Source organism: Homo sapiens, chromosome 8, assembly GCF_000001405.40.
Source record: "Homo sapiens chromosome 8, GRCh38.p14 Primary Assembly".
NCBI lineage: Eukaryota > Metazoa > Chordata > Mammalia > Primates > Hominidae > Homo > Homo sapiens.
Genome location: NC_000008.11, coordinates 120,752,598 through 120,780,118, shown reverse-complemented (window position 1 = coordinate 120,780,118; position 27,521 = coordinate 120,752,598). Strand labels below are relative to the sequence as shown.

General features: G+C 40.2%; 1 protein-coding gene and 1 long non-coding RNA gene across 5 annotated transcripts in view; one reads left to right on the top strand and one right to left on the bottom strand.

Annotated features, from left to right (window-relative positions):
* The window catches only part of SNTB1 (syntrophin beta 1), a 276,291-nt gene that overhangs the window by 31,928 nt on the left and 216,842 nt on the right, over positions 1-27,521 (top strand). Inside the window, exon 1 of one of the 4 annotated variants that reach the window (XM_047422127.1) lies at positions 36-27,521. This exon is cut by the window's right edge and continues 36,724 nt beyond it. The exons of the other annotated variants lie outside the window; for them this stretch is intronic. The gene's annotated coding sequence lies outside the window, so the exon portion shown is untranslated. Of the gene's footprint in view, positions 1-35 lie in introns of those variants that run through there. 4 annotated transcript variants of the gene reach the window in all.
* Positions 3,287-18,866, bottom strand: SNTB1-AS2 (SNTB1 antisense RNA 2). The gene is made up of 5 exons (NR_125419.1): positions 18,747-18,866; positions 14,255-14,341; positions 10,421-11,460; positions 4,593-4,844; positions 3,287-3,760 (listed from the first exon to the last, which is right to left on the bottom strand). It is a non-coding gene; the product is annotated as an SNTB1 antisense RNA 2 (long non-coding RNA).

Sequence of the window (27,521 nt, the reverse complement as noted above, 5' to 3'; positions counted from 1 at the left end):
CCTGCTCTGACACGGATCTTTTTTTTTTTTTTTTAACTAGATCATCATTCCTTATATGTCATCAATAGGCTTTTAATCAGGTGTCATCCACTGTTACTTTTTTGCAACACATCCACCACTTTTCCATCAGCCCCCACCGGTCTCTACTCAATGTAATATATCTAGAGCCCTACGTGGATATATTATATTGTTTTTTGCAGACAACCCTCAAATCCCTTTCTCTAGCCTTTGCCTCTATCCCGAACTTCAGGCATGTCCACTGGATGTTCCTACATGGACGACCCAGAAATTTCTCAAACGTGACATACCTCAAACCAAAACTATCATCTTTCACTCTCCTGTCAAACTCCCTTCTAGGTAACAGACGAATGTTTTATCTATTAACACAAGCCAGAAAACTAACGCTCCGGCTCTGTCCCTGCCTATCTCTCAAAGTTCGTTTTACCCACAGCTTGCAAATTTTTATTCCTCTTTTTATGCCCTCTTCCTTTGTCCTAGTCAGATCTTATCCTGTTTCTAGATTACAGCAATATCTTCTACAGTTGGGCTCTCAGTCATCAGCTTCTAACTCTCCACTTTACAATTTTATTTTATTTTATTTTATTTCATTTTATTTTGAGACAGAGTCTCACTCTGTTGCCAGGCTGGAATGCAGTGGCACAATCTGGGCTCACTGCAGCCTCTGCCTCCCAGGTTCAAGCGATTCTCCTGCCTCAGCCTCCCAAGTAGCTGGGACTACAGGCACACAACACCACGCTCAGCTAATTTTTGTATTTTTAGCAGAAATGGGGTTTCACCATGTTGGCCAGTATGGTCTCAATCTCCTGACCTTGTGATCTGCCTACCTCGACCTCCCAAAGTGCTGGGATTACAGGCATGAGCCACCACGCCCAGCCTTACAGTTTATTTTTGGCCAGAGCTATTTTACTTAATAGAGGTGGTGATCATGTCATTTGCCTGCTCAAAAATCCTTGATTAGATCCTATGACTATCAGGATATGACTGAAACTTCATAGCCTGACATCCAATACTTTTTCATCTGTGCCCACTGCTCTTTACTCAATATAATATATCCAGGGCCCCACGTGGAGCCTAACATACTGCAGAGGCCTGATAAATAAATGAATAAATAAACAAATGAATGATGGAGTGGATAAATGAATAAATGACTCACTAGGCATTGAGCCTGCCAAACAGATGCATGCATCATGCTGCCAAGAAAGCTATTTCCCTCCTTCTGATATAGGTGAAATCCTATTCAATATGTCATTGTTTTTTCAGTTTTTTTAGACTATTCCAGTCTCAATCAATTGCTTCTCAACTTGTGATTCTGAGACATTTTATTCATGCTACAGTTGTAGCAGTTAATATATGTCAAGGTTATTTATATGTGTGTTGGGTGTTCACAGAGACAGGGACTCTTGATGGCAATGAAGACTCAGCTACTAGCAAAAAGCCTGATGCTCTTCGGAAATCAATCCATGTTTGAATTCCCACCACCACTAATTTCTTTCAGTCATATTATGTCTTTCCTGAAGTCCTGCAATAGCTTTATAAGTGTTTTCCCTACCTCCATTCTCATCCTAAAATCTCCTCCTCATTGTCCTACTAGACAAATCCTTTTGTTCTGAAAATGAAAAGTTTGCAGAAATGCCAGAGCACTGATGAAATTAGAGGTCAGGATTCCTGATTTAGAGGTCATTGCCTTCCTAAATGCATCTGAAGTTTCCACCTTTTTTGGTGACTAAAGTTGTTTTAGAGTTTTAGGCACCCTGGGTTGCGAAATAAATAGAATATCATTTTGTGGGGGTAGTAGAGATCTTTCTGTAAGTTTTTAGCTGCTTAGCCATTTCACATTATTTGTACTTTGTGAGTAAATATAGATTCAGGAAGAAATGTTCCTGGGAACAGGAAGGAGACATATCTAAGCCCGAAGTGAACTTAATGACTTTGTGTTTTCCCTGCTAACAGGAGTCTTGGAACCCACCTGGGTTGTATCAAATAAATACAATTATTGCAGTTCAACTAGGTCATGTTTGTGCACACACAAAGTTTGGATGTGGCAGAAGTAAATGACTGGACATTGTTAACAGAGCTGTGGTTTGCAAAACAGCAAAGGTTTTCAGACTGGAGAAAGGGAGTGAGTTCAGAGAAACATCAGTCTAACCAAAGTGTTTCTGCTGCTGCTGCAGATGCCACTGTTAATTGGAATTGCTTATTACTTCAGTTACTTTCAACAGTGCTTTGGGGGATACTCTTGCCCTCATATTGTCTAAATCTGTCCCTGTCACTAGTGACTGGATAACCCAGGGCATTTTAACAGGCATCCTATTACCTGACAGTAGGCATCCAGCTTCCTGTATTAAAAGTAGATATTTCTCCTGGGATTTAACCTTCTGTTCAAAGCTTGAACCACTTTGTTAGGAAAAATGTGGTCCTAATAATGTTTTCCAGTCACCTGTGGCTTGCAAAGTACTTAATGCTTATGAACTCATTAATCCTCTTCATGAAGCCAGTGAGGAAGGTAGATGTCAAGTTATGTTTTCCTCTTTCTAAGGGCTGTGAATCTGAAGCACAGACTTGCACAGACTGTTTGGGACATATCCATGGCAAATTGGGAGAAAGGGGCCTATCGTTTTGAGATGTTCAAACCCAAAATCTAGCGGCTGATTTTTTAAAAATTGTAACTTCAAGGTGGCTCTCCTCTCTATAGCTATCAATCAGAAATCCTCAGTGGGTAAATCTAGCAGGAGGCATTGGCTGAAAAATGGAGCTTTGAGAGCAATAACATCTGCTCAGTTGGGTGGGGAACAGATACTTGTAGTGTCAAGATTGTGATGCATGGTCTTGGGATTTTTCCAAGTTCAACATGTTTGTCAGTCTTTTGAGGCCCCTATTTATCCATGGTGTAAGGATTTGTTTAACCAACTATTTCCTCCTAATCCTTGCAAAAACATGTATGAAGTACACAACAGCAGTTGAAACCATAGTAGCAATTCTTTCAAAGGACCCAGTCTATGGCTCCTGGAAAGTTCTGTCCTTCCCCGTTCTAAATCTAGTGGTAGAAATGTATCCTAGTTGAAGATTGGTATTAGATGCTTACTATTAAAACTGGAATGTTAATTCTTACTTCTAATTAAAAGGCCTCATTTCTGTTCCTTAGATCTATTGGTGAGGTGATTTTTTGGGTTCTGGCCAACCATAGAGGGGAACTTTAATCTGCACGCTTCTTAGAGAACCCTGTTGCCACCTTATTATTTTCCCAATGAAGTATGCAGAGCCCAAGGACATGTAGATTGTTTATTCATCCATGTGTGCACTTATTCATTTAGGAAGTACTTTTTCATTATTCACCATGTGAAAACCATGTGCCAAGCTCCTGGGGGTACTGATATGACCAGGCTTATGAGGGGGAAGCAGGTGGGCCATTTAGCAGGAGGCCTTGTATTCATAAAAGGCCTCACATTAAGACTCTTGACATTGTTCCCAAACGAAGTTTTATTTTGGTTGTAAATAAGGGTCATTTGCAAAATACAAGCATTTACAAATATGTGAGAGTTTTGGTAATCCTGCTCTGGCATTTCATAACATCATAACGTGTCCACAGGTCTCAAAAGTGGAAGTGACCTGGGCTGGTTAGAACCTCTTGGAGTCTGTAGAAATGGCTCAGGCACCCTCCTTGTGTCTCATTACTCTGTAGGAGTCAGGCATCCTTCTCCCCAAGAAACAATGTAGGTGGTAACCCAGGATAAGAAAACATCTGGAAGCAGCCATGGAATATAAATGTTAGATAGCTGGAAGAAGCCACAGAGAGCCTTCAGTGTTTATGTGTCAGTCAAGGAAACTGACCTGAAAGAGGTGCAGGGGGACATCCCTAAGACCCACTGGCAGTTCACGGCACAGTGAGACTAGAATGGAGGATTGGTAATCTGAGGAGCTCTGCTGTTTCTTCCATAGAATTGGGCCCTTGATAAACACACATGTGCATGTGTCTTTATAGCAGCATGATTTATAATCCTTTGGGTATATACCCAGTAATGGGATGGCTGGGTCAAATGGAATTTCTAGTTCTAGATCTTTGAGGAATTGCCACACTGTCTTCCACAATGGTTGAACTAGTTTACAGTTAATGGGTGCAGCACACCAACATGGCACATGTATACATTTTTATGTAGCAAACCTGCACGTTGTGCACATGTACCCTAGAACTTAAAGTATAATAATAATAATAAAAAAAGAACCGGGCCCTTGACAAAAGAATGGCACTTAGACTGTGCTTTACCCTGTTACATGGTCCTCTGCACCACTCCCTAGGCATGGGCTGATGTCAGCTTCTTTCTGTTCCTTCCTTCTTTCCTTCTTTCCTTCCTTCCTTCCTTCCTTCCTTCCTTCCTTCCTTCCTTCCTTCCTTGTCTCCTTCCCTCCCTCCTTCCTTCCTTCCTCCCTCCCTCCTTACTTCCTTCCTTTCTTTCCTTCCTTCCTTCTTTCATTCTTTCTTTCGTTCTTCCTTTCTCTGTCTACCCCCATCCTCATCGCTCTCTTTTTTTCTTTCTCTGTCTTTTAAATTGAGTGCATCCTGGTTTTATACTTACTGCTAGTATCTTTTTGCTATACTCCTCCTTTGTTCCTACCAGCAATGGAGGTTGGCCCACATCAAAAGCAGAAAGTTTGGTTTTAATCAGCACAATATTTGCAGTGTGAGCTTTGATCTTGACTTCTGCCTGGGGCCAGAGCAGGACTTCACCGCAACAGTGAACTCAAGTCCCCGTGTTCTCCTCTCTGAAGCTGGGATCACCAGGATGTGGTTAGTATGTTGCGGAATGAATGTCGCTGGGATTCAAAGCCTGCAATGAGTTTTTTCGGTAAGTCCCAACTATATGAGAAAGAGAGCGAGAGGGAAAAAACCCATACAAAGCAAGCATCTCCCTTCTCCCCTCAAAACACAAAGAAGACAAACTAGGCCAGATTGACTATTTTCCTGTTTCATCCTGTTCTTATTCCTCTTCTTTGAGTTTTAGACAAGTATGTTATGACAAAAATTTAACTCCATATTTTCCCTGAAGTCTCTAAATTCTTTGAGCCGCCTCATAGATAGTACTTCTCAATGTGCCAAAGACTTCAAACAAGCCCGAACTTAACATTTTCCCCTAGAAACCTGCTCTTCTGGCCGGGCGTGGTGGCTCATGCCTGTAATCTCAGCACTTGGGGAGGCTGAGGCAGGTGGATCACTTGAGGTCAGGAGTTTGAGACCAGCCTGGCCAACATGGTGAAACCCCATCTCTACCAAAAATACAAAAATTAGCAGGGCGTGGTGGTGGGTGCCTGTAGTTCCAGCTACTTGGGAGGTTGAGGCAGGAGAATGGTTTGAACCCAGAGGCAGAGGTCACAGTGAGCCGAGGTTGTGCCACTGTACTCCAGCCTGGGTGACAGAGCGAGACCCATCTCAAAACAAACAAACAAACAAACAAACAAGCAAACAAACCAACAAACCCTCCTCTTCTTTGGTTTTTGTAATCTGCCACCAGGCTCCCAAGCTAGAAACCTTGAATTCACCTTACACTCCTCTCTCATTCACCACATTCTGTCAATTCTGCCACCTAAACGAATCCAATTACTGCCTTCCCTCCACTCCGTATGCCACACAGCTGCCAGGGAGATCTGTCTAAAATGCAAATCTGATAGTACCATCCTCCTCCTTAAAAAGCTCTGTGCATTCCCTAGACTCAGAGTCACACATGCACACTCTTAAGCATGAGATAGCCACATGGCCCTGGCTGCAGCTCAGTGAGGTAGCCCTGCTGCAGCCACACTGGATGTCTGACCACACCTTCATGGGGTGTGCTCATGAATGCCTCTGCATCTTTTCTCCAGTTAATCACACCACCTGCAATATTCTTTCTCAACTGGTCACATTCTGTTCTTTCTTCTAGATTCAGCTCACTCTCTCCACATTTAAGTCTTCCAAGGCCTCTCAGGTAGTTGGTTGCATCATCCTCCCACTTGGATTTGATTTACTGGAAGGAACATCGGCTTTGGAGTTTCACAAACAAAACTTAAGAACCTGTTCCACTCTGAATGTCATTGCTTCAACCATAACACAGACACAGTGCCAGCTTCACAGAACTATTGAGGGAATTAAACAAAGAAGCACTTGGTTTCCGATAAATATTAGTTTCCTTTCTATAGCAAATTTTACATAGAAAATTGCATGGTGGTTAAAAGTCTATAGCCCTGAATCCAGAAGATGTGGCTTTAAAGCCTAGCTCCACCACATACTTATGTGAGTGACCTTGAACGATTACATTTGCTTGAGCAAATTATTCTCCTTTCAATGTCCTTATCTCTATAATAATAGTACCTACTTGATAGGGTGCTTGGGAATATTAAATGAGATAAATATAAGGTTATTGTATTTGGCACACAATAATCACACAGTGGGTTTGGGCGGTAATCTTTTTTTTCCCATACTTGCCCTGCTGTATCATAATTATTTGTTTACACATTTTTTTCCCTATTAACTTAGGGATTCCTAAAAGGACCAGATGGTGCCTTACTCATACTTGTATCCTCAGGGGCTACCATGGAACACAGTGTAAATGTTCGGAAGTTACTTCTTCAAATGGATAAGGCCTGGTACGTTTCATCTGAAGTTTCACTTCTGGACTGTGGTCAGCCACACAATCTGGAATTCTTCCAGGGTACTGCTCCATGCTCACATCCATGCCAATCTCTCTTTATTTTTATTATTTATGTATTTATTTGTAATAGAGATGGGGTCTCACTGTGTTGCTCAGGCTGGTCCCAAACTCTGGGCTTAAACAATTTTTCCTACCTCAGCTTTCCAAAGTGCTGAGATTACAGACATGAACCATCATGCCCGGCCTCAATCTCTCTTTAAAACCCACTTCAAAATAGGCTTCTCTAAGAAGATTTCCTCCATATTACCCCAAGTTCATTCAGAGCTCTCTTTTAAATCTCAGTTCCAGTTGCCTTGCTGATTTTTTAAAATTATTATTTCACACGTATGTCCTCAGTGGGCTTTTTTTTCAGTTCTTAAATTATTTCATTTGTTTATTTTTAATTTTAATTTTGGGGGCTACATAGTTGACATGTAAATGATAGGGGACTGGACTACCTCCCTCCTGTGATCTGTGAGTGATCTTGCTGCCACCAACAGTAGCACACTTGTTGTGGGGGCTTTCATTGAATAGTGTGTTACCTGGTCGGGTTGCCTCTCATGGCAGCATCTTTTTTCCCCATCTTCTTTTCTTTTTCTTCTCTTTCTGTTCTCTCCAAGGGCCCCTCCAGCCTTGAATGAGTGTTGTGATCCCTGTTTTAGACTAGAGGAACTTCCATTTCTGCCCTGGATGCCAGAGTCCATCAATTTAAAACCTGTTCTCTCCTCTTTCCTATCTGTGGCAGGTATATACAGTGTGGGTTGTTCCTCACCCTTCTCATTTCAGCTTAGTTGACTCCAGTGGTATTGGATGCCAGGAAACATTTATCCTCCTCCTTTGCTTGTTTATTTTACACACATACACAAACACACACACATTTTAAAAGTGTGCCCCTGGCTGGGCATGGTGGCTCACACCTGTAATCCTAGCACTTTTGGAGGCCTAGGTGGGTGGATCACTTGAGGTCAGGAGTTTGAGACTAGCCTGGCCAACATGGTAAAACCCCGTCTCTACTAAAAATAGAAATAATTAGCTGGGTGTGGTGGTGCGCACCTATAATCCTAGTTACTCAGGAGGCTGAGGCAAGAGAATGCTTTGAACCTGGGAGGCAGAGGGTGCAGTGAGCCGAGATCACGCCACTGCACTCCAGCCTAGGCGGCATAGTGAGACTCTGTCTCAAAAAAAAAAAAAGAAGAAAAAATTGTGTGACCCTAACCCCATATGTGAGAGACAATCTACAGGGTTCTGGAGAGGACAGATATAAAACAGATACAGGTCGGTGCAGTGGCTCATGCCTGTAATCCCAGCACTTTGGGAACCCGAGGCAGGTGGATCACTTGAGGTCAGGAGTTCGAACCAGCCTGGCCAACATGGTGAAACCTTGTCTCTACTAAAAATACAAAAATTAGCCGGGTGTGGTGGCACATGCCTGTAGACCCAGTTACTTGGGAGGCTGAGGCAGGAGGGTCGCTTGAGCCCGGGAGGTGGAGGTGGTTGTGAGCCAAGTGCGTGCCACTGCACTCCAGCCTGGGCAAGGGGAGTGAAACCTTGTCTCAAAACAAATAAATACATAAATAATAAATAAATAAAATAAAATAAAACAGATACAAAATGTGTTGAAACACTGTTAACAGAATTCTTAAGAGCAGTATATTTTAGATTTCAGTTAGTAGGGCTAAGTTATATTATAAAGAGGCTCAGAGAGCTTGATGTAAATTAAAGCTCTCTGTTTGGGTTTAAGTTTCAAAAAAAAAAAAAGAGGCATGGTTTCGTTTTGTTTTAAGCATGTTTTTCTATTGTCTTCATGTCACACCCTCGAGCTGAAGTGATTTTTGATTAGGGAGAAGACAGAAACCAATTAAGGGCTTCTCCAGTCCAAATGGAGTGACTACTAGAAGAAAGCTGTAAACGTACTACACTTGCATTTCACAATCTTAATGCATTTGTTTTCTTAGCGAAGAAATTTAAACACTTGTGATGCAATGGAACAGAAATTTTTTATACGTTTTTCCTAAATCTGTCTTTTTCTTCATTTTCACATGGAAACAGAAATTTGTCAGGTGCATTTTTCTTCAGAATAATTATTTTTCTGCTCTTCAGATGACAGAAATGGTAGAAATGAAAAGAGAACACACCACCTAGCATTTTCTTCCATTTTATAAATTTGGATCTTTTATCTCATTCTCTGGATTCAGAGATTCTAATTATTGTCTGGGTACCTGGACCTTTCTCTTTTCCCAAAACCTTGTTCACCTCCCTCTGGGACAGAGCAGTTTCCCTTCCTGGGGATACACAGCTGCTAGTTTTATTCTGTTCCGCCCACAAATCCAGTGTTGCTGCATCTCTAAAGTCTCTTTGATCTCCTCCCACGTAGTGATATTTTACCCTTCCATTGAGTGACCAACCTCCTGGGTAAAAAATGACAATCCAGGAAATAGATGATCCAAAGCGACTCTTCTTGCTATAGTATTCTGAGATCATTATTTCACACCTCTACCCATTCCCTAGCCTAATTAAAATGTCTGTAAACATGGGACCAGACATAAACTGCATAAGAAAATAAGCACAGACCATTGAAATTAGATGGTTCCATCATTAAAGGTCTGTACTTTTTAAAAATTTTTTTTTGAGACAGAGTTTTGCTCTTGTTGCCCAGGCTGGAGTGCAATGCCACAATCTCGGCTCACTGCAACCTCTGCTTCCTGGGTTCAAGTGATTCTTCTGCCTCAGCCTCCTGAGTAGCTAGGATTACCGGCGCCTGCCATCACACCCAGCTAATTTTTGTATTTTTAGTAAAGACAGGGTTTCACCAGTGTTGGCCAGGCTGGTCTCAAACTCCTGACCTCAAATGATCTGCCCGCCCTGGTCTCCCAAAGTGCTGGGATTACAGGTGTGAGCCACTGCACCCGGCGTAAAGGTGTGTACTTTCAAAGATACCTCTCTCAAACCATATTTATATTCTCCTTTTTAACATTGGAGACCAAATTTCTGTAAGATCTGGTTTTCAGATAAGCACTTGAAATAAGGCAAAAAAAAAAAAAATGCTTTATTACTAGACCTAGCTCATATCTTAAGGAGAGAGGTGGATGTCGTCTGTAGGGAATGTGAAGCCAAGGAAAGGATCCACACTGACCTCACTTCCTGCAAAGTGGATGGTGGTGGTTTCTCTTGTTACTTTGTATCAGTTCCTCCACCAGCATCAATATTTGTTGGGAGGAAAAGCCACCTGGCAATGTAGGATCAACAAATAGGAGAAGGCATCACAGTCATGACTACTGTGGAGTCAGATGTTGAAGTAGCTATCAGCATAAACTGGTAGGAAGAGATGCATTTCCTGATAGAAAAGACAGCTAGGATGCATACAAATGTTTCCCAGAAAATATAGTGGCTGGTTACAAGCAACTCCCATTGATTAGTAAGAGAAGAACTACGTGTAGCAGAGAGAACTCTGAGCTAAGAGTTCAACCCTGTTTTTGTTCTTGACCCTGTCCAACAGCAAACTTGTTTTTGAGTTTGAGTAAATCACATAATAATATTATGTATTGGGCATACAGTGAGCATTCTTTAGGCATTGTGTATATGCTGATCATCTATTGTGTAGGAAACCATCCAAAGCTTCATAACTTTAAAAAAGTATTCTTTCTTACCATTCTGGGGATTAATGTGCACAGCTGAGCAGCTCTTTTTGGGATACCTCCGTATGGTTGCAATTAAATTGTCAGTCGTTGGAAGGCTCTACTCACCTGACTGCAACCCCTAGGCTGAGATGGCTGGATCAGTTGAGGATTCTTGGAGCAGCTCCCTCTGTACAGTGTCTCCATGTGGTTGACCTGGGCTTCCTCCAGCATGGTGATCTCAGATAGTGAGACTTCTTACATAGCTGCTGGCACCACCGCCCCCCCAACCCAGAATGAGCATCCAGGAGACAGGAAGTGGAAGCTGCTAGTCTCTGAAAGTCTGGGCCTAGAAACTGGAGCAACATCATTTCTGCCATGTGCTCCACTGGTCAAAGCAGTCTCAGAGCTCCTCCAGATTAAAGAAGAGGAGAAATTGACTCACTTGTCAATAGGAGGAGTGTCAAAGCAGGTGCGGTCATATTTACTATGTTACTTAATACTTCTGGAAAAGGTTCTGACTGGGTTCCTCTTGTCCAGAAATCTGCTTGAAAAAAGGATATAAGGAACTATTGCCAAATGATGATCAAAATAATCAACTCTATTGGTGCTAAAACTGTGCCAAAAGCCACACTTCCTCCAGCTGAAATGGGGGCTTGTTCTACCCCTTTTGCCCTGAATTTCAAATAGAGGGACCCTGGGTCTAAACTGGCTGATCCACACCGTCAGATGCCTTGTCTGGAACTGAGAGAGAAGACGCCTGGCTGGACCTGCCAGGTGAGGCAAACAGGTCTATGTCCACAGGCCAAGAGAGAGGCTGGGAGTCTGTCGTTCTTTTAAGGCACCCACTGGTAGTGTGCATCAGTCTGATTAGTAGTAGCCTCTCCACCTGTGGTGGGGAGCCACTGAGATGGACCTGAATTTTCTTTCAGTCTTGCCCTTTCCTAAGAAGTAGATCAAGTCTCTGTCTCTTCTAAAAATGTGAGGAGGGCAGGGATGCATCAGGCATTTTCTTCTTCCCCATACCATCCAAAACTCCAGGATTATTGGCCATCTTTTGCAGAGAAGAAAACTGAGGCTCGGAATAGATTCACCACGTTTCCAGAGTAACAAGCTGATAAGGACTTGAAGCACATTCACAGGACGTCATCCTCTCTCTCTTTCAACATCTCAAAAATCAAACAAATATATGTGTGGCAAATCTTACTACCTCCCCAACACACTACTCCCAAGACCCACCCCTACTTATTTCTCTCCATATCCCTTATTACATTAGCATCTTGCATAGTGTATGTGTACTCATTCATGTGTTTGCTGTCTGCCCCTCCTCCCACTGTAATTGGATCAAATATAAATGATATCATTGGAATATGGAAGAGGTACCAATGTAGCTAGTGTTATTTGCACACACGATTTACCATTGTGTACCAAATAATACTCAGTTAATACCTGCTGCCTTTAGAATGTCCCCTTTATAAAGCTCTGAAGATATGGGCTGCCATGCACCAATCACTACTGGCTGTAGGGTACTCGCACATGGCTGAAGTTCTAGTGCTGGTGTTGATTCGCTGGGACTTGAACAGCATGAGGTCAATGCATTCCATAGGAGACTGCGGTAACATCATGTACAGGTGGGATAAGTTTCTTTTCCAGGTAAGATGTTCCTGGCTTAGCTGCTGTTTTCTGTGACAAGTTTTGTGGACAGAATCAACTGCCTGCCTTTCCAGCAGTGCACTTAGAACCTCAAAAAAACTGGCTCTTGGGCAGATCAACAAACCAATTGAATGCAGTTGCAATTTTAAAATCTGAGCCACAGAAAGATATTGTTGCTTGGCTAGGTTGTGACTATCTTCCCTGGATAATCCCTGCAGGACTTTTGAGGGAAGTAAAGAAGTGGCATCTCCCATTTCATCCATCAGAATCATCATTTAGGAATTATCAAGAATGAGAGAGGGTTAGTCTTGGAATGTGCAGAAAGGTATACATGGCAGTTACCAGTATATTAATAAAAATGCCACTGTGCTGAAGAAACAACCGAGCATAATAAAAGACTACTATCGAAAGAACTTTTGATTGTGGCACTCTTGCAATGGCTTTAGGTGTCTGATTGCATTTAAGGCTCAGAACAATCCTCTAAGGAACGATAATCTCCATTTCACAGATGAGGAGGAAGAAGAACAAAGAGGCTAAGTGATTTGCCCAAGGTCTCACAGTAATGAGTGTCAGAATCCAGATTTGAACCAAGACAGTCTGGCTGTAGAGCCTATGTTCTAAACAGCTATACCACTAGATCCTTCTACTACCTTTTTGGTGTTTTGTTGTTAACATTTTCAAGGTCTAAAGAGTGTATAAGCAAGCCAACTAACTTGCAAGTTCTTTGTGTTATTGAAATATATATGCATGGTGTGTGTATGAACACTTTATATACACTGTTGTACAATTATAAAGTACTTTGGAGTGGGAGGGGGTTTAGAAGTTTATTTCAGCTTCCCACCCAATGCAGGGGTCCCCAGAGAATCATCATTCAGCTTTCCTTGAACTTTAAAATCAGATGAATAAAAATACTAAGGGTCAACATAAGCGCTGATGCTAATAATTGCTGTAACTATGGAAACAAACTAGAATACAGAGGACAAAAAAAGGTTCTTACGAGAGAATTAAAAAAAGACAACTGAAATTCACCATACACACACAAGGTAGTGACTAGGCTTGGGAACCAAAATAAATTAATAAAGACTGGAAAATGGAGGAGAGTAGGATGAGAGAAGTGTAAGCACTAGATTTCTGGCCATCTGTAAAACATAGTTAAACTCTTTGTTTTGATTACATAAATATTTTGTGTTTGTGAAAAAAACTCTGGGATAATCATTCATATAATTAGAAATAAGATGCCTGGCTTCTAAATGGGCATAGAATATAAAACATAGCCTATTTAGGAAAAGAAATAGTGGAAGAGAAACAGTAAGAAAACAAATGAACAACAGCAATGAACCCCAATGTGTAAGCTCCATGGCAAATACATAGCTTTACATTTTTCTATTAAAACATAAAATATACCAAAGTAGATTTAACAATGATATGCAGTGATTTGCATTCATTACCTAATGACTAAAAATATTCTAGCCAATTATAGCGCTATACAGTATTTTGTAGGTTAACATCTTCTCTAATTACTTGGAAGATACACTATGTCTTATTCAATTTGGTATTGCCAATATATAATTGGCATATGATTGGTGCTCAGATTTATGTTAAATGACTTAATGAATTTTTAGAAAGTGAGTGGATAACAATATAAGGAAAATAGTATTTAAAGAAAAAATATTATATATAGGAGAGTGGGTGATTATAAATGTATAATCAATAGTGAAGACATAATGAAATGGAAACTTTATGTGCCAAAGAGCATTGCTATAAACCACTTGGGGCAAAAACTATTGGAAATACAAAGATAAATTGGTGGTAAGAGTGTGGGCTTTATAATCGGTCATACCTGGATTTGAATCATGGCTCTGATATTTAGTAGTTTGGCCAATTATTTATCCTTTCTGAATCTTATTTTCATCATCTACAAAAATGAGACTAACCTCATTGTGAGGATTAAGTGAGGAAATGTAGGTAAAAGTGAAGGAGGGAGAGATGTATCCTGTTCTCAGTGGTTATGCAGCATTTGGTCAATAAATATCCCCAGAGTGAGAACCCTCTTCTTGTCATTTTCACAGTTCTTTAGTGCCAGTATAATGCCTTGTTCTATTAAACATTCAAATGGCTGCTGAGTACTGAATAATTTTAAAAAGAAGAGTGCCGTAAACTGTTTCCTTGCTTAAAAACAGAAATCTAACTGTAGTGGCTTTACAAATTAGGGGTTTGTTTTCTTACATAAAGCTGAGACATAGGTGATCAGGTGTGGCTCCATGAATTTATGAAGGACACAACCCCCTTCTCTCCTTCAGTTCAACCAACCTTAGCACTTTCTTTCCATGCTCCAGGTCACAGAATGGCTTCTGAAACTCTAGCTATCATGGCCACTGCTGTGACTTGAATGTGCTCCTTAAAAAAAGAAAAAAAATGTGTTTTGTAAACTTAATACCCAGTGCAACAGTGTTGGGAGGTGGGACCTAGTGGGTAGTGTTTAGGTCATGAGGGCTTCATCCTCATAAATGCATTAATGCCAATTATTAAAGGGCTCGAGGCTGTGAGTTCCATTTCTTGCTCTCTTGCATGCATGCATTTTTTGCCTGTCTGCCTCCCACCATAGGATGATGCAGCAAAAAGGCCCTCACCAGATGCCAGCACCTTGATATTGGACTTCTCAACCTCCAGAACCATGAAAAATAAGTGTCCTTTCTTAAAAGTCACCCAGCGTGTGATATACTTTTACAGAAGCACAAAATGGACTCAGACAACCACAGTCTACGTTATAGGAAGAGGAAGGGCAACAGTCAAGGACATTTCTTCCACTTCACTTATCTCTCTTCAAAAACTCTCCTGGAATCCCTACCCACAAATTCTACTTATCTCTTATACCATCCATTACTCCCTATAAGGAAGACAGAGAAATGTGAGTTTTTCAGTTTTTTTGGTTTGGTTTTGTTTTGTTTTTGAGACAGAGTCTTGATCTGTCACCCAGGCTGGAGTGCCGTGGCAGGATCTTGGCTCACTGCAAGCTCCGCCTCCCAGGTCCAAGCAAATCTCATGCCTCAGTTTCCTGAGTAGCTGGGACTACAGGTGCCTGCTGCCATGCCCGGCTAAATTTTTATTTTTAGTAGTGATGGGGTTTCACCTTGTTGGTCAGGCTGGTCTCAAACTCCTGACCTCAGGTGATCCGCCCACCTCGGCCTCCTGGAGTGCTAGGATTACAGGCATGAGCCACTGCCCCCAGCTGTGAGTTTTTTTTTAAACTGGAATATAAAATAGCCACTCCATATAAAATAGAGTTTCTAATGTTTGTGAAGAAAGAGAGAATTGATATTAGGGAGGCAACAAAGAATCTGTCAAAATGATTGATGGTTTTCTTGGATGGGAACTTCTTGCATCACTTATTAAAGTCTACACTTATGTATTTAATAATTTTATGTCTAGTGGGTTTACTTCAGCTGAGCAGGGCCTGGGGTGGGGTCCTAAAGTAACTGATGGAGCTTTCCTTTGTGAGTTTTATCTGTTATATATTCTCTGAGAGGTTGAATTTAGAAAGTAGGGCAATTGAAAATGGCTAGGGATTACTGAAGGGTATTTATTAATTTATTTGACTGGTAATACAAACATTAGAAAAATCAACAGGGGCAAAAGAAAAAACAACTAAAAAGTAATTTTTTCTTCACCCTTGGCTCTCAGTTATTCAGCCCCTGTCTTTAGAAGTAACCACTGTGACTACCCACTATTTAAATTTTGTGTAGACTTCTGGATAAAGTCACTGCTTATAATGCATATATGGGTATGTAATCTAGTTTATTTTTTTAAGCAAATGAGACCGTATCAGACATACTTCTCTGCACATGGAATATTTCACTTAAGAGTATTTCTTGGATATCTTTCCAAGTCATACTTGAGAAGCTGCCTCATTGTTTTTAACAGCTGGCTAGTATATCATTGCATGGATATACCATTATTTATTCTCTTGATGAACTGTATATACCATAATTTATTTGGCTGAACATTTTGTAGAGTCCAATATTTTGCGCTATAAGTAAGACTATAATGAATAACCTTGGAAATATGTCATTTTGTGTTTGTGTAAAAGTACTCCAAGAATTAGAATTTATTCTGAGTCAAAAGGCATTTGACCTTATGACTTTGAGAACATTGCCAAATTACTCTCCATAAGTATTATGGCAGTTTTTACTCCACTAACAGTGTTCTGATGATATATTTTTGCTCATTACATTGTGTGACCAAACACTTGGTCTTCTTTGGAAGGCCAAGGCAGGAGAATCGTTTGACCCCAGGAGTTCAAGACCAGCCTGGACAACATAACAAGACCCCATCTCTATAAAACAAACAAATATTTTGGTGTTTGCTCACATAATAAACAAAAAAAAAATCATAGGTTGAGTATCATATTGTAAATTTAAGAGCTAAAAAAAATTTCTATTTATATTCTTTGCCCATTTTTCTCTTGGGTTGGTTAATTCTTATAGGTTGTCTTTATAGTTTAAGGAAATTAGCCTCTTATTAGTTGCAAATGTTTCCCATTTGGTTTTTACTTTGTTTATGGTATTTTTCATGCAGAAAAAATTTTTTAACTGTTATGTAGTCAAGTTTATTGACTTTTAAATGGCATGCAGATTTTACGTCATATGTAGAAAGTTTAATATCTCACATTAAGATTGTTTTAATAGGTCAATTTTTTCCTAGTTAGTTTTGTTTTTCCAAAGGGTAGCACAAAGACCAGTGTAACTACAAGCTACAAGGAAGCCAATTTCAGCTTCTCCTGGAAGAAAGAACATTTTAACAATTAGTCTAACAATGAAATCAACCCCTTGTTGTAGTTTTCTTCAGGGTTTGGTAAGCTAACCATTTTTAAGAGTATTCCAGGAAGCCTGTATTTCTTATTTCTGCAGTCCTCTATCTACTTTCCAAGAAGAAATTTACTTTTCACAATGGGCATCATTACCAGGCAGTTCTTGGAAAATAAGCACATATAGTAATGCGATATATAAGATTCATGATATCTATTAATAAATAGCAAAAGAAATTTAATGGAAATCATATAAATTGTTCTAGAGGAAGAAGTTTTTTGAGATAGTTCAGTATAGTGGTGAGAGACTGAGCTTGTGAGTCAGAAAGGCTAGTTCAGATCCAATTCTGTGCCTGGCTATGAACCTCTGAGCCTCAGCTTCCCCATCTTTAAAATGGAGATAGTAATACTACCTACTACATAGGATTCTTGACAGGCACTCTTAAAAGTCTTAAAGTTCTATGCATTTTTTGAAAGTTTAAGTTTTCGATAAATATTAGTTATTTTGTTGTTACTCTATTTGGATGCAATTCCATTGCCTAGTATTTTTTTTCTTTCGGCAAGCATTTATTGAGTGCACACTGTCTACTAAACACTGTACTGGATTCTGGGGTATAAACAAGAATAAACAAGGTACCTGTTCCCAAAGACCATAGCCTTAGGTTTTACAGAGGTATGGAGGCAAGATATTAATAAAATTTACTTGTTAAATCAATAAGGCCCCAAAGCACCATGCATTTGTAATCTAGAGTATGAATGGCACATATGGCAAAGTAACATGTTGGCAACGAGCCTATGAATGAATAGCAGCTGGATTGCAAAATCAAGGAGAAGCTTTTCCCCTACCCTCCGAACCCAAACAATCCCCTTCTTTCATCAGGTAACAAGAGATGACAGCACAGGGATCAGGTCCTAATGCACAGCCTTTCATGGCCCCAGTCCTGCTTTTCATTCTGATTAGAGGATAAAGGAAATGGGTTTCCTGGCTGGTCTCATCCTGGTAAACATTTTGCCTGCTTTGCAGAACCGCCACCCTATTTAAGTGCAATTTGCTGGACCTGCAGTTGGTTGAAAACAGCAGGGCCTTTGTCAGTGAATAGAGCTGTAGTGACAGGGAGGACATTTATAAAAATGCTGGTGTGTCTCATGCCCCGTGCCAGCTGGTGCTATTAGTGCTCTTTTATGTGTGTCTTGAAATATACTGTAATAAATCTTTAAAGGAAAGCCAGGACATAATGAGTAATCAAATTCAGTCCTCTGGAATTCATTGCAATGGTGGCTTCTAAACGTGGGTATTGCCCCACCAGAAATGGAAAACTGAGAAGTTAAGAAAAACAGGTTGTTCTTGAAAATGTATCAGAGACATTTTTGGTAAAGAATCATATTGGCCCTCTTCCAGTGGCTTTATTTTTATTAAGAACTAGAAATCCATGAGCTGAAATACACAGACTGCTGGAACCCAGCCTTGATGTGAATCCTGCATCTTAGTCTGAGTTACTATTTTAATAAAAAAGAAATACTTCTATTAAAAGTCTCTGGGTGCCCCATCAAGTATCCTATATCTATTCAATGTTATAATCGTAGAACTTGTACCATAGTGTAAGAAAATGTCTGGGAAGTGATGACTGAAAAAAGCAGTTTTCTTCCAGCTGGCATCTACCTGATGATCACCCCATATGTATATGGTCAAGGTGCGGAAGAGATCTCTCCTATTAAAAATACTTGATACATTTGGGTAATACAATGTGTTCCAAGTTTTCTCTTTTTCTTTTTCAATTTTATGTGCTATAGAATAATTTTAAATGATCAAAAATAAAAGAACTGTGGTTAGGTATGTATGTCTACAGACCACCCATTATTCTCCCTTCTGGGCAAAGTCTAGATCAATTTTTCCATTTGAGCCGGAGCTTCCTATTTGCAACTATAGAGATTAGTGTTGAATGCTCGGAGCTGCTAACATAGGAGTTAACTATGGCTTGTGGGTCAATTCCAGCTTACCATCTCTTGTTTGTTTATTTGCCTAGAAGTTAGTCTGTGTTTATTGTTTGCTGTAACTGTAGGTGTCAGAGGCTAAAATTTCTGCTGGTGTCCTTGTTTTTAGGGGGTCCCTGTTGTCTTGGGTTTCCCTGGAGACTCCTTTATAAATAGAATCTGAGCCTTGCAGTTCTTTTCAGCTATCATCCTCTGTTATACGGGAATCCTATTGATATGGCGCTAAAATGGAGGTGGTGGTAATGGGGAAGCACCCAATAACCCTATGATTTGCTCTCAGTCTTTAATGACTCCATCATTATAGATTTAAGAACCTTTTAATTCCTTTCCTTGTTTATAGTCTTTGCTCATTTTTCTGTCGGACTGCTTAACTTTTGCGTGTGTTCTTTATAGTTTTAAGAAATTAGCCTCTTGTTAGTTGTAAATCTGTTTCCTATTTGTCTTTTGACTTTGTTTACGGTATTTTTTCATGCAGAAAAAATTTTAAATATCAATAAATTTTACTATATAAAATTATTCACAAGGTCTTCAGGGTTTTTTTCACCCCTTAGTAAATGAGACAGGAAGGCTAGATGGGGCTGGAGTTGGGTATTTCCCTTTTTCCAGGTCAGATGGGCTCTTTCTGATAAAATCTTACTAGGTTAGGCTCTGGTAAAATAGTCTCCCTCAAAGACAGGTCGTGTTAAGGAGAACAGAACAGTCTGGGTGTATTTAAAAATGGTTACTTTTCCCCTCCCCTGCAGGAAGGATGAGGGGATTTTTCTTTGACCTTTACAGTGCAAACCTGGTTAAGCTTCAGCAGGTAAAACTCATACAAATGTGCCTCACCCACCTCTCTCAGGCTGGGTCTCCAGGAGTTTTTAATTTCTGAAGCTAGGCCAGGCTCGGTCTCCAGTAATTAGTAAATTATCCTTTAAATATGTCTACCCAATGTTGGCTCCAGTGAGATTTCTGCCCCAAGTAAGATATAATTCTTTGTATCTACCCCCTCTTCGGTTTTAGCAGTGGTGATTTGATCTGTAACCTCACTTCTCTGATAGACCTAAGAATTGTTGATTTTCAGGGTTTTTTTTTTTTTTTTGGCTTGTTTCTTATTGTGAGGACAGGAGTGACAAATACCATGATCTTTATTTACAGAACCAGAAACCAAAGTCTACCACCTGTGTTTGTATAGCTTGTGAGCTAAGCATGTTTTCAGGCATTACCAAATGATTGAAAAAATTTTAAATAATTTTTTGTGACATGTAAAAATTATATCAAATTCAATATCAAACTTCAATACTGTGTTCATAAAATTCTGTTAAAACATGGCCATTCTCATTTGTTTATGTAGTCTATGGCAGATTGAGTATTTGTGACAGAGACTGTATGGCCAACAAAACTTAAGTTATTTATCATCTGGCCCTTTACAGAAATGGCTGCTTTTTAGTACACTCTAGACATAGGTCCTGGTTAAGTTTGAATCCCTTGACACTGTGCTTGAGTTGAAAATCAAATGATGGGCACCTGTCAAGGGCTGGAGAGGATCCTCACATTTAGAGATGAGTGAAGACATAGGCCTTCTCTCAAGGAGACTCTAGGCTTGTGGGGAACACTAGAGGGCCAACCAAATAAGAATTTAACGGAGTGGTTCAGAATGAAAGGCTATGAAGTTCGTCTTGGGCCACAGGAAGTCATTGGAGCTCATCCTATTTGGTAGAACAGGAACTTCTTGATGATGATCCAAGGGCTGGATCTTTTTAGGAGTGCCAGGCTCAGGTGGACATTGATGTATTGCGCTTCCTGAGAACTGAGAAGTTTCAGCTCCAATCCTTCCAACAGTTATGGCTGCTGTGGCCACTTCAGTACTGTAATGCCACTTTCAAACACGCATACTTTGTTCATTGTGATTTTTTTTATTCTTCAGTTATCAAGAAGTATGCTAATTTAAGGAAAGAGTGGACTCATGTATCAGAAAAGTATTCAAAGCAAACCATCAACCTAATTTCAGAAAGTAGAGACCAGTGAGAGTTTCCTAAACATTTATAAAGGGTAGAATGCTTGGACATTTCTAGGTTGATCGTGAACTCTGCCAGCAGTGTTCACCCACTTGCTTTGCCCTCTGAAGGTATTTCAAGTAAAAGGAAAGATAAACCACAAACTGTTTAGCTCATGTATGTCCTATAATACATGTATGTTATTATCTCTGTGGAGAATAGGAGAACTTCAGAACTTTGTCTCTGGCCTGGATGGAAATTCTTTCAGTCCTTGTTGTTATTAACAACAGCTATAAGATGTCAGAAATGCCTCCTTAGCTAAAGTGGGTTGGGGCTGGGCAAGGTGGCTCATGCCTGTAATCCTTGCACTTTGGGAGGCTGAGGGTGGAGGATTGCTTGAGCCCAGGAGTTCAAGACCAGCCTAGGCAACATGGCAAGACACCGTCTCTATAAAATAATAATAAATAAATAAATAAGTGGGTTGCTGCCAAGGAGGGTCCATGCTGGACTTAGATGATAGGATGGATGCAGACAACAAGGAAATATACAATATGGAGTTCTTTATTAATTAATCACAACTTCCCTGAGGTCCAGATTCCTTAGGAAAGTTAGGTGACCACTCTTGGGCCCCCTGTGTAGGCCACAGTATATTAAGGTTTGCCTAGTCTGCAATTGAGTAGTGTCCTTGAGTCTCTCTGGCTGTGTCCCCAAATTGCAATTCTGACTGTACACTATGTTGTGGTTTGGCCTGGAAACAGGTATATTCCCTTGCCACCTTATATTTTTTATCAGAGTGATTGTGAAATCCACCCAGCAGATCTTGTCCATGGGCCATCAGTATATTACATTGCATATTAATGGAGCTGGAGAAATAGTGAAGCAAATAACCCATGCAAAAGTAACTAAAGCACAAATAAGGAACATGATATTGACTCTCTTGAATCTCTCACAGAGTATAGATTTGATGAGGACCTCTAACTCAATGTAAAGTCACCTTAATGAAATCTGTCTCTTATTATCATCATCCAGGCCCTTATTGAATATGTCTGGAGGTGAGAAACTCATATCCTCCCCTCAACCCATGTGTGTCAGTGTTAGACACTGCATTAGTCAGGGATCTTGGGTTTGCAAGTGACACAATCAATTTGTTTAAGCAAAAACAATATTTATTAGCTCTCTTGACAAAATTTGAGAAGTGCAAATTTCAAGAGTGAATATAAATAAGATTTAAATATTGGAAATCAATAATTAATTTTTCATCTTTTTCCCTCCTTCCTTTTCTCTATGTAAAGCTATTACAACATCACCTGGAACATAGTAAGTGCCCAATATGTGTTACTTGTTTTTACGTTTATTACTTCATAGGGTTAGCAGAAGCGATAAATGAGATAATGCATTTAGCATGGTTCCTGGTATCACCACCAATACCACTGCTGTTACTACTTTTCTTTCCAGTTTTCTCTGTTCTTCTCCTTTAATCTTTCAGAGTGTCTTTCCCACTTAGCGAAAAACATGGCCATCACTAACTTCCAAGCTCACATGTCCCTGCTTCACAATTAGAAAACATTTGGGATGTCTTCTTTCTGTTTCTTAAGTTCCCCATGGTAGGGAGAAATCTGATTAGCTTAACTTTAATCCAGTGTCTATACCTCTGTGGTCACAGTGGCCAGGAAGGAAAGATACCCTCACTAGAACATTACAGTTGGAATAGAGGGAAGTTTTTCACAGAAGAAGGGAAGACTTGTTAAGCTGACACAACTAGAAACTGCTAGAGACATCTGGGGTGATTAGGAGTGCTTTCATAAATTTAAACTGAATACTCGTGCTTCCTACTTTGATCTTCTCCTGAAACACGAAATGAATCAGTTCTTTCTCATTTGTGACCTTTCAGATGTTTAAATGCAGCTGTCATGTCTGACTACTTGGCACATTACAACATTCTACTGACCCAGGTCTCCTGTCTCTGAGTTACCTTTTATTCCAGTTTTCAGCTCTAACAGGACCCTTGTAGACTTCTTATTTCCTCCTTTTCTTTAACCTCTGTAATCACCTTGCCATCTCTCACCCTGCTTTAGTCCACAGAGTTCCCCTTAATCATTGCTCAGCTGGCCTGGTTACTGCAGACCAATCACCCAGTATCATGTAGGAATGCAGTCCTTTCAGCAGCAAACAGGTTTGGGAAACCCGATAGATCTGTTTTGATTCATGTGTCTCTCCTACTGAGTAAAAGTATGACCTTGAGAAATTGACTCAGCCTCTTTCAGTGTTGTTGTAAGGATTAGGGATTAGTTATGCACAGTCCTTAGCCCAAGGCCTGGCGTATAGTAGATGTACAATAAACAGTAACTGTGGTTACTGTCATTATTATTCTTATATCAATTCCTGGCACCCCAAAGGAAAGGAAAATGTGGTTAGAGAATTTATATTCCATCCCATGCCCATGGAGCAAAAGATCAGGTTCTTCCTATCCTGGCAAAGCCAGCATGAAGAGGTGACTTGACCACATGGGCAAAAATTGGACCTTGGGACTTCAATTTCTTTTTCTTGCAAGCCTCAGATGTCAATCCCAGCACTTAGGCCACTGGGAATGTAGCAGTGGCTTTTCTCTTGTTTTCTACCTCCAGTTTTAAGCCAATTGTCTTGAGGGATATAAAAAGCCCCATTATCCCAAGCTAGGGAATTAGAACGTTAATTCCATCCAGGTCAGCTATTAGAGGGTATAAAGGCAGAGATGACTCTTCTCTGGGGGCTTTACTGCAAGTGGTAGCTCAACTCATTCAACTCCATTGAAGAAACATAGTTTTTATATTCTTACTCTGGCTAAATGTCTTGGCATTTGAGGTTCCCCAAATTTTGGCTGTAGTCTACTTTTCCTTACTCTGTTGTACTCACCTTCTACCCATCCAGATCAGGTTAATTCCCCCTCCCAAAGCCCACTCTGTGAATAAGCACTTCTGAATATTTTATCACATCGTTACCCCAGTGAGTGTCCTGCATCAAACTAAATCCTACCCATCTTTACCACCTTAGCTGTCCATCCATCGCTTTACACCTGTCCATCCATCCATTGAAAAAAATTGCTATTTTAGGCATTGATACAGATGTAAACAAGACCAAGTCCCTGGCCTCATGGAATGTACATTCCAGTGTAAGAAACAGACAACAAATATAAATAGATGCTTTAATGTCAGTTGTATTAAGTGTATTAAAAATTAAAACAAATAAGGAAAGAGAAAATGATGTTGGAGGTAGAAGGGTAGAGATTGACTATGTTGGATATGCTCATTATGGTTCACAGAAGGGAAGGTCATCTTGTCCAGAATGCTCCAATGTAGGCATCTCTTTCACAGTACCTCTGAAAGATAGCAATCCATGGAGATGATGCACCGTTGATCTTAAGAGTACAGACCCTGGAGCTGTATTGACCTTGGTTTGAATTCTAGCTCAACCACTTGCTGGAATTCAGCTCAACAATGTGACCTTGGTTGACTTATTTACCATCTTCGAGACTTCTTATCCTTTATCTGGCAAATGGGGGTTATAATAGCACTATTTCTTCCAGTTATTGGTTGTTGGGAGAATTAAATGAAGTTATGTCTGTAAAGCTATTAGAACATAACTTGGAACATAGTACTTACTATGTGTTACCTGTTGTTACCTTTATTACCTCATAGAGTTAGCGTAAGTAATAGGTGAGAAAATGCATTTGGCATAGTTCCTGGTATCACTACCACCACCACCACTACTACTATTATAATTGTTATTTTTATTATTGTTTTCTAGTGACAGAAGACTTTTAAGATGGGAAGTTCCTCGTCTTATGAGTTTCCTTTTTTGACAGTCTGTTCATTAAATTGCCCCTTTTCACATTGAACTCAAATGTACTTCACATAAATATTTAGTTTGTGGTCCCAGATGGACCTGTCTACCATAACCTCCAGAGCTAAGCATCCAGCCCAATATAGTTTGGCTCTCCCTGATCATGACAGCCCATGGCACACCCTCCTCCTCTGAAATCCCCAAGCCACTTCTGTTAATACCACTCACTTGGCCCTTACCATTTATTGTTCTGATAGCTATTGCCTTATTATGTTAGTGTTTAGTTCAATCTACACCCAGAACATAAGTGCTCTAGGGCAGGATATTGTCCTACCTTTTCTTTTTATAATCCCCTTGGATGGAACCCTCTCTCTCTCTTTCTTCTCTCTCTCTCGCTCTCTCTCTCTCTCTCACACACACACACACACACACACACACACAACACCACAGCATAGCTTAGACTCAACATTTACGCACTGTGTCAAGGCCACTGTGTCACTACTGTGTGAAGGCCACTGCAACCACACTGGGTGACATGAGAACCAACACCATTGCCTCGGATACAAAGGTTGCTTGTATTTCACTGGAGCATCTTTTATTATACCAGTTTCTTCCATGTGCAAGTCAAAATTGTGTCTTTTTTAAATGTTCCTGCTGACTCATAATCTTGCTTGTCGTCTTTTCCTCCTCATTTACAACTCTACAGTCCATAATGTATTAAATGATGCAAGTTCCCAGCCTAATATTAGGGAAGGAAAGTAGTAATTGAATTCTTAAACTCATGTACCTTTCTGTAGCCTTTGCTTATGATCTTGTTTGTGCCCTGGGCACAGACAGTACACTGAAGGACTGGCCTTCAAACCAGCTTCTCCCATTGCTTTTCTCATGATAATAGTGAGTAACATTTATTACACATTCGCTTTGCCTTCATATACTCTCTACATCTACACTTCACATGCATGATGTCATTTAATCTTCAGAATCACCCTCTGAATTTGGAACAATTCTTATCCCCACTTTAGGGATAAGAAAATTGAGACTTAGACAAGGAATCTCAATCCCAGAACTAGATTTCTTTTTCTTCTTCTTCTTTCTTTTTTGATACAGGGTCTCACTCTGTTGCCCAGGTTGGAGTGCAGTGGCACAATCACAGCTCACTATAGCTCAAGCAATTCTCCTACCTCAGCCTCCCCAGGAGCTGGTACTACAGGCATACACCACCACACCCAGCTAATGTTTTTCTTGATTTTTTTTGTAGACACTTGTTTTCACCATGTTGCCCAGGCTGGTCTCCAACTCCTGGACTCAAGCAATCCACCTGCCTCAGTCTCCTAAAGTGCTGGGAGAACTTTATTTCTTAACTATATTTCTTAACTATTCCCCCATATGATTCCATCAGGACCTGAGTGAGAGTGAGATAATTTTTCAGGTTCTATTCTCTGTGATGCAGCCTCTGGCCATGTATTTATAGTTTCAAATAGAAAGTGAGTTACTATCAGCAGGCCAGAAGTAGAAGACTTTGGGAAATTTCTTTTATCCATGGTATTAGTTTACAAACTTTAGTCCCTGATGTAAGTAGGCATCATACTCCCAAATTTAGATTGATGAGACAAATTAGAATGAATGTATCTATGATTGCAGGATCAGTCACAGGGTTTCCTTGATAGAATAATTCGCTCCTATCTTTTGATATTTCAGCTTGATTAGGAAAAATTCATTGTATACACAAATTTTTAGGCACATATCTAAGGCATAAGATAAGACACATGTGTGGATCCACTGGTTAAAATGTTAAATGTGTGGCTTGTTTCATCATTAAAGTCCCTCTAGTATGCATTTATTTGCTTCCCAGAAGAATTTGATCTGATCGTTGTTCTGCTGACCGCACACACCTGATGCTTCTCTGATCTTATCTGCTGCTACTCTCTGCCTTGCTTATTCTCCCCTTACTGTTCACAGGGAAAATGTACCAAGCACTGTGGGACCGAAGTTCTGTTCCTGCCCTCAGGGAACTTCCCATTTTGTTGAGGTGACAAGATTATACACATGGGATTATTTGACAGTTTGGAGCTACACAGTAGTGCTATTGAGAAATAGGGCAGGTCTTAAGAGGAGGATTTAGCGTAGATTTTTCAGAGAAGGTGAAGGACTTGAACTGGAGATTGGATTTTGTTGGTGGAGTAAAGAGATGGGGTTACAAGTCTGGGAGGTGGAGTGGGCATTGGAAGACCAAAGACAGCATAAAGGAAGAACTTTTTAAAGTTACGCAATTATATCATTACCATGTTTCAAACCATCTTGAAGGCATGATGCTGGAAGGAACCTAGCATGTGGGTGGACTGGTCTGATACACTTAACCATTTTTCCTTGGTGTGTATTATATGAGTTTCAAACAGTAGTTTAATGTGGTGCCTCAGGATTGACACAGGTGATTTCTATGCCCAAACTGCCTGTGATGGCCCAACTGTGATGTTCCTCCAGGGCCTCTGAAACACCCTGTGCCATCAGGCTTAGCAACCCCAAGGAAAATCTTGGAAAGGAGCACATATTGCTTCTTTTCCAGTAAAAACAAGTCTTTTTTTTTTTTTTTTTTTTTCTTCCAGCTTTTGTTTTAGGCTCAGGGAGTGCATATCCAGGTTTGTTACATGGGTAAATTGCATGTTGCTGGGGTTTGGTGTACAAATTATTTCATTACCCAGGTAGCGAGTATAGTACCCAATAGGTAGTTTACCAATCCTCACCCTCCTCCCACCCTCCATCCTCAAGTAGGCCCCTGTGCCTATTGTTCCTTTACTTATGTCCATGTGTGCTCAGTGTTTAGCTCCCTCTTATAAGTGAGAACTTGTGGTATTTGGTTTTCTGTTCCTGCATTAATTAACTTAGGATATCCTAATTAACTTAGGATAATGGCCTCCAGCTGCATCCATGTTGCTACAAAGAACATGATTTCATTCTTTTTTATGGCTGTGTAGTATTCTGTAGTGTG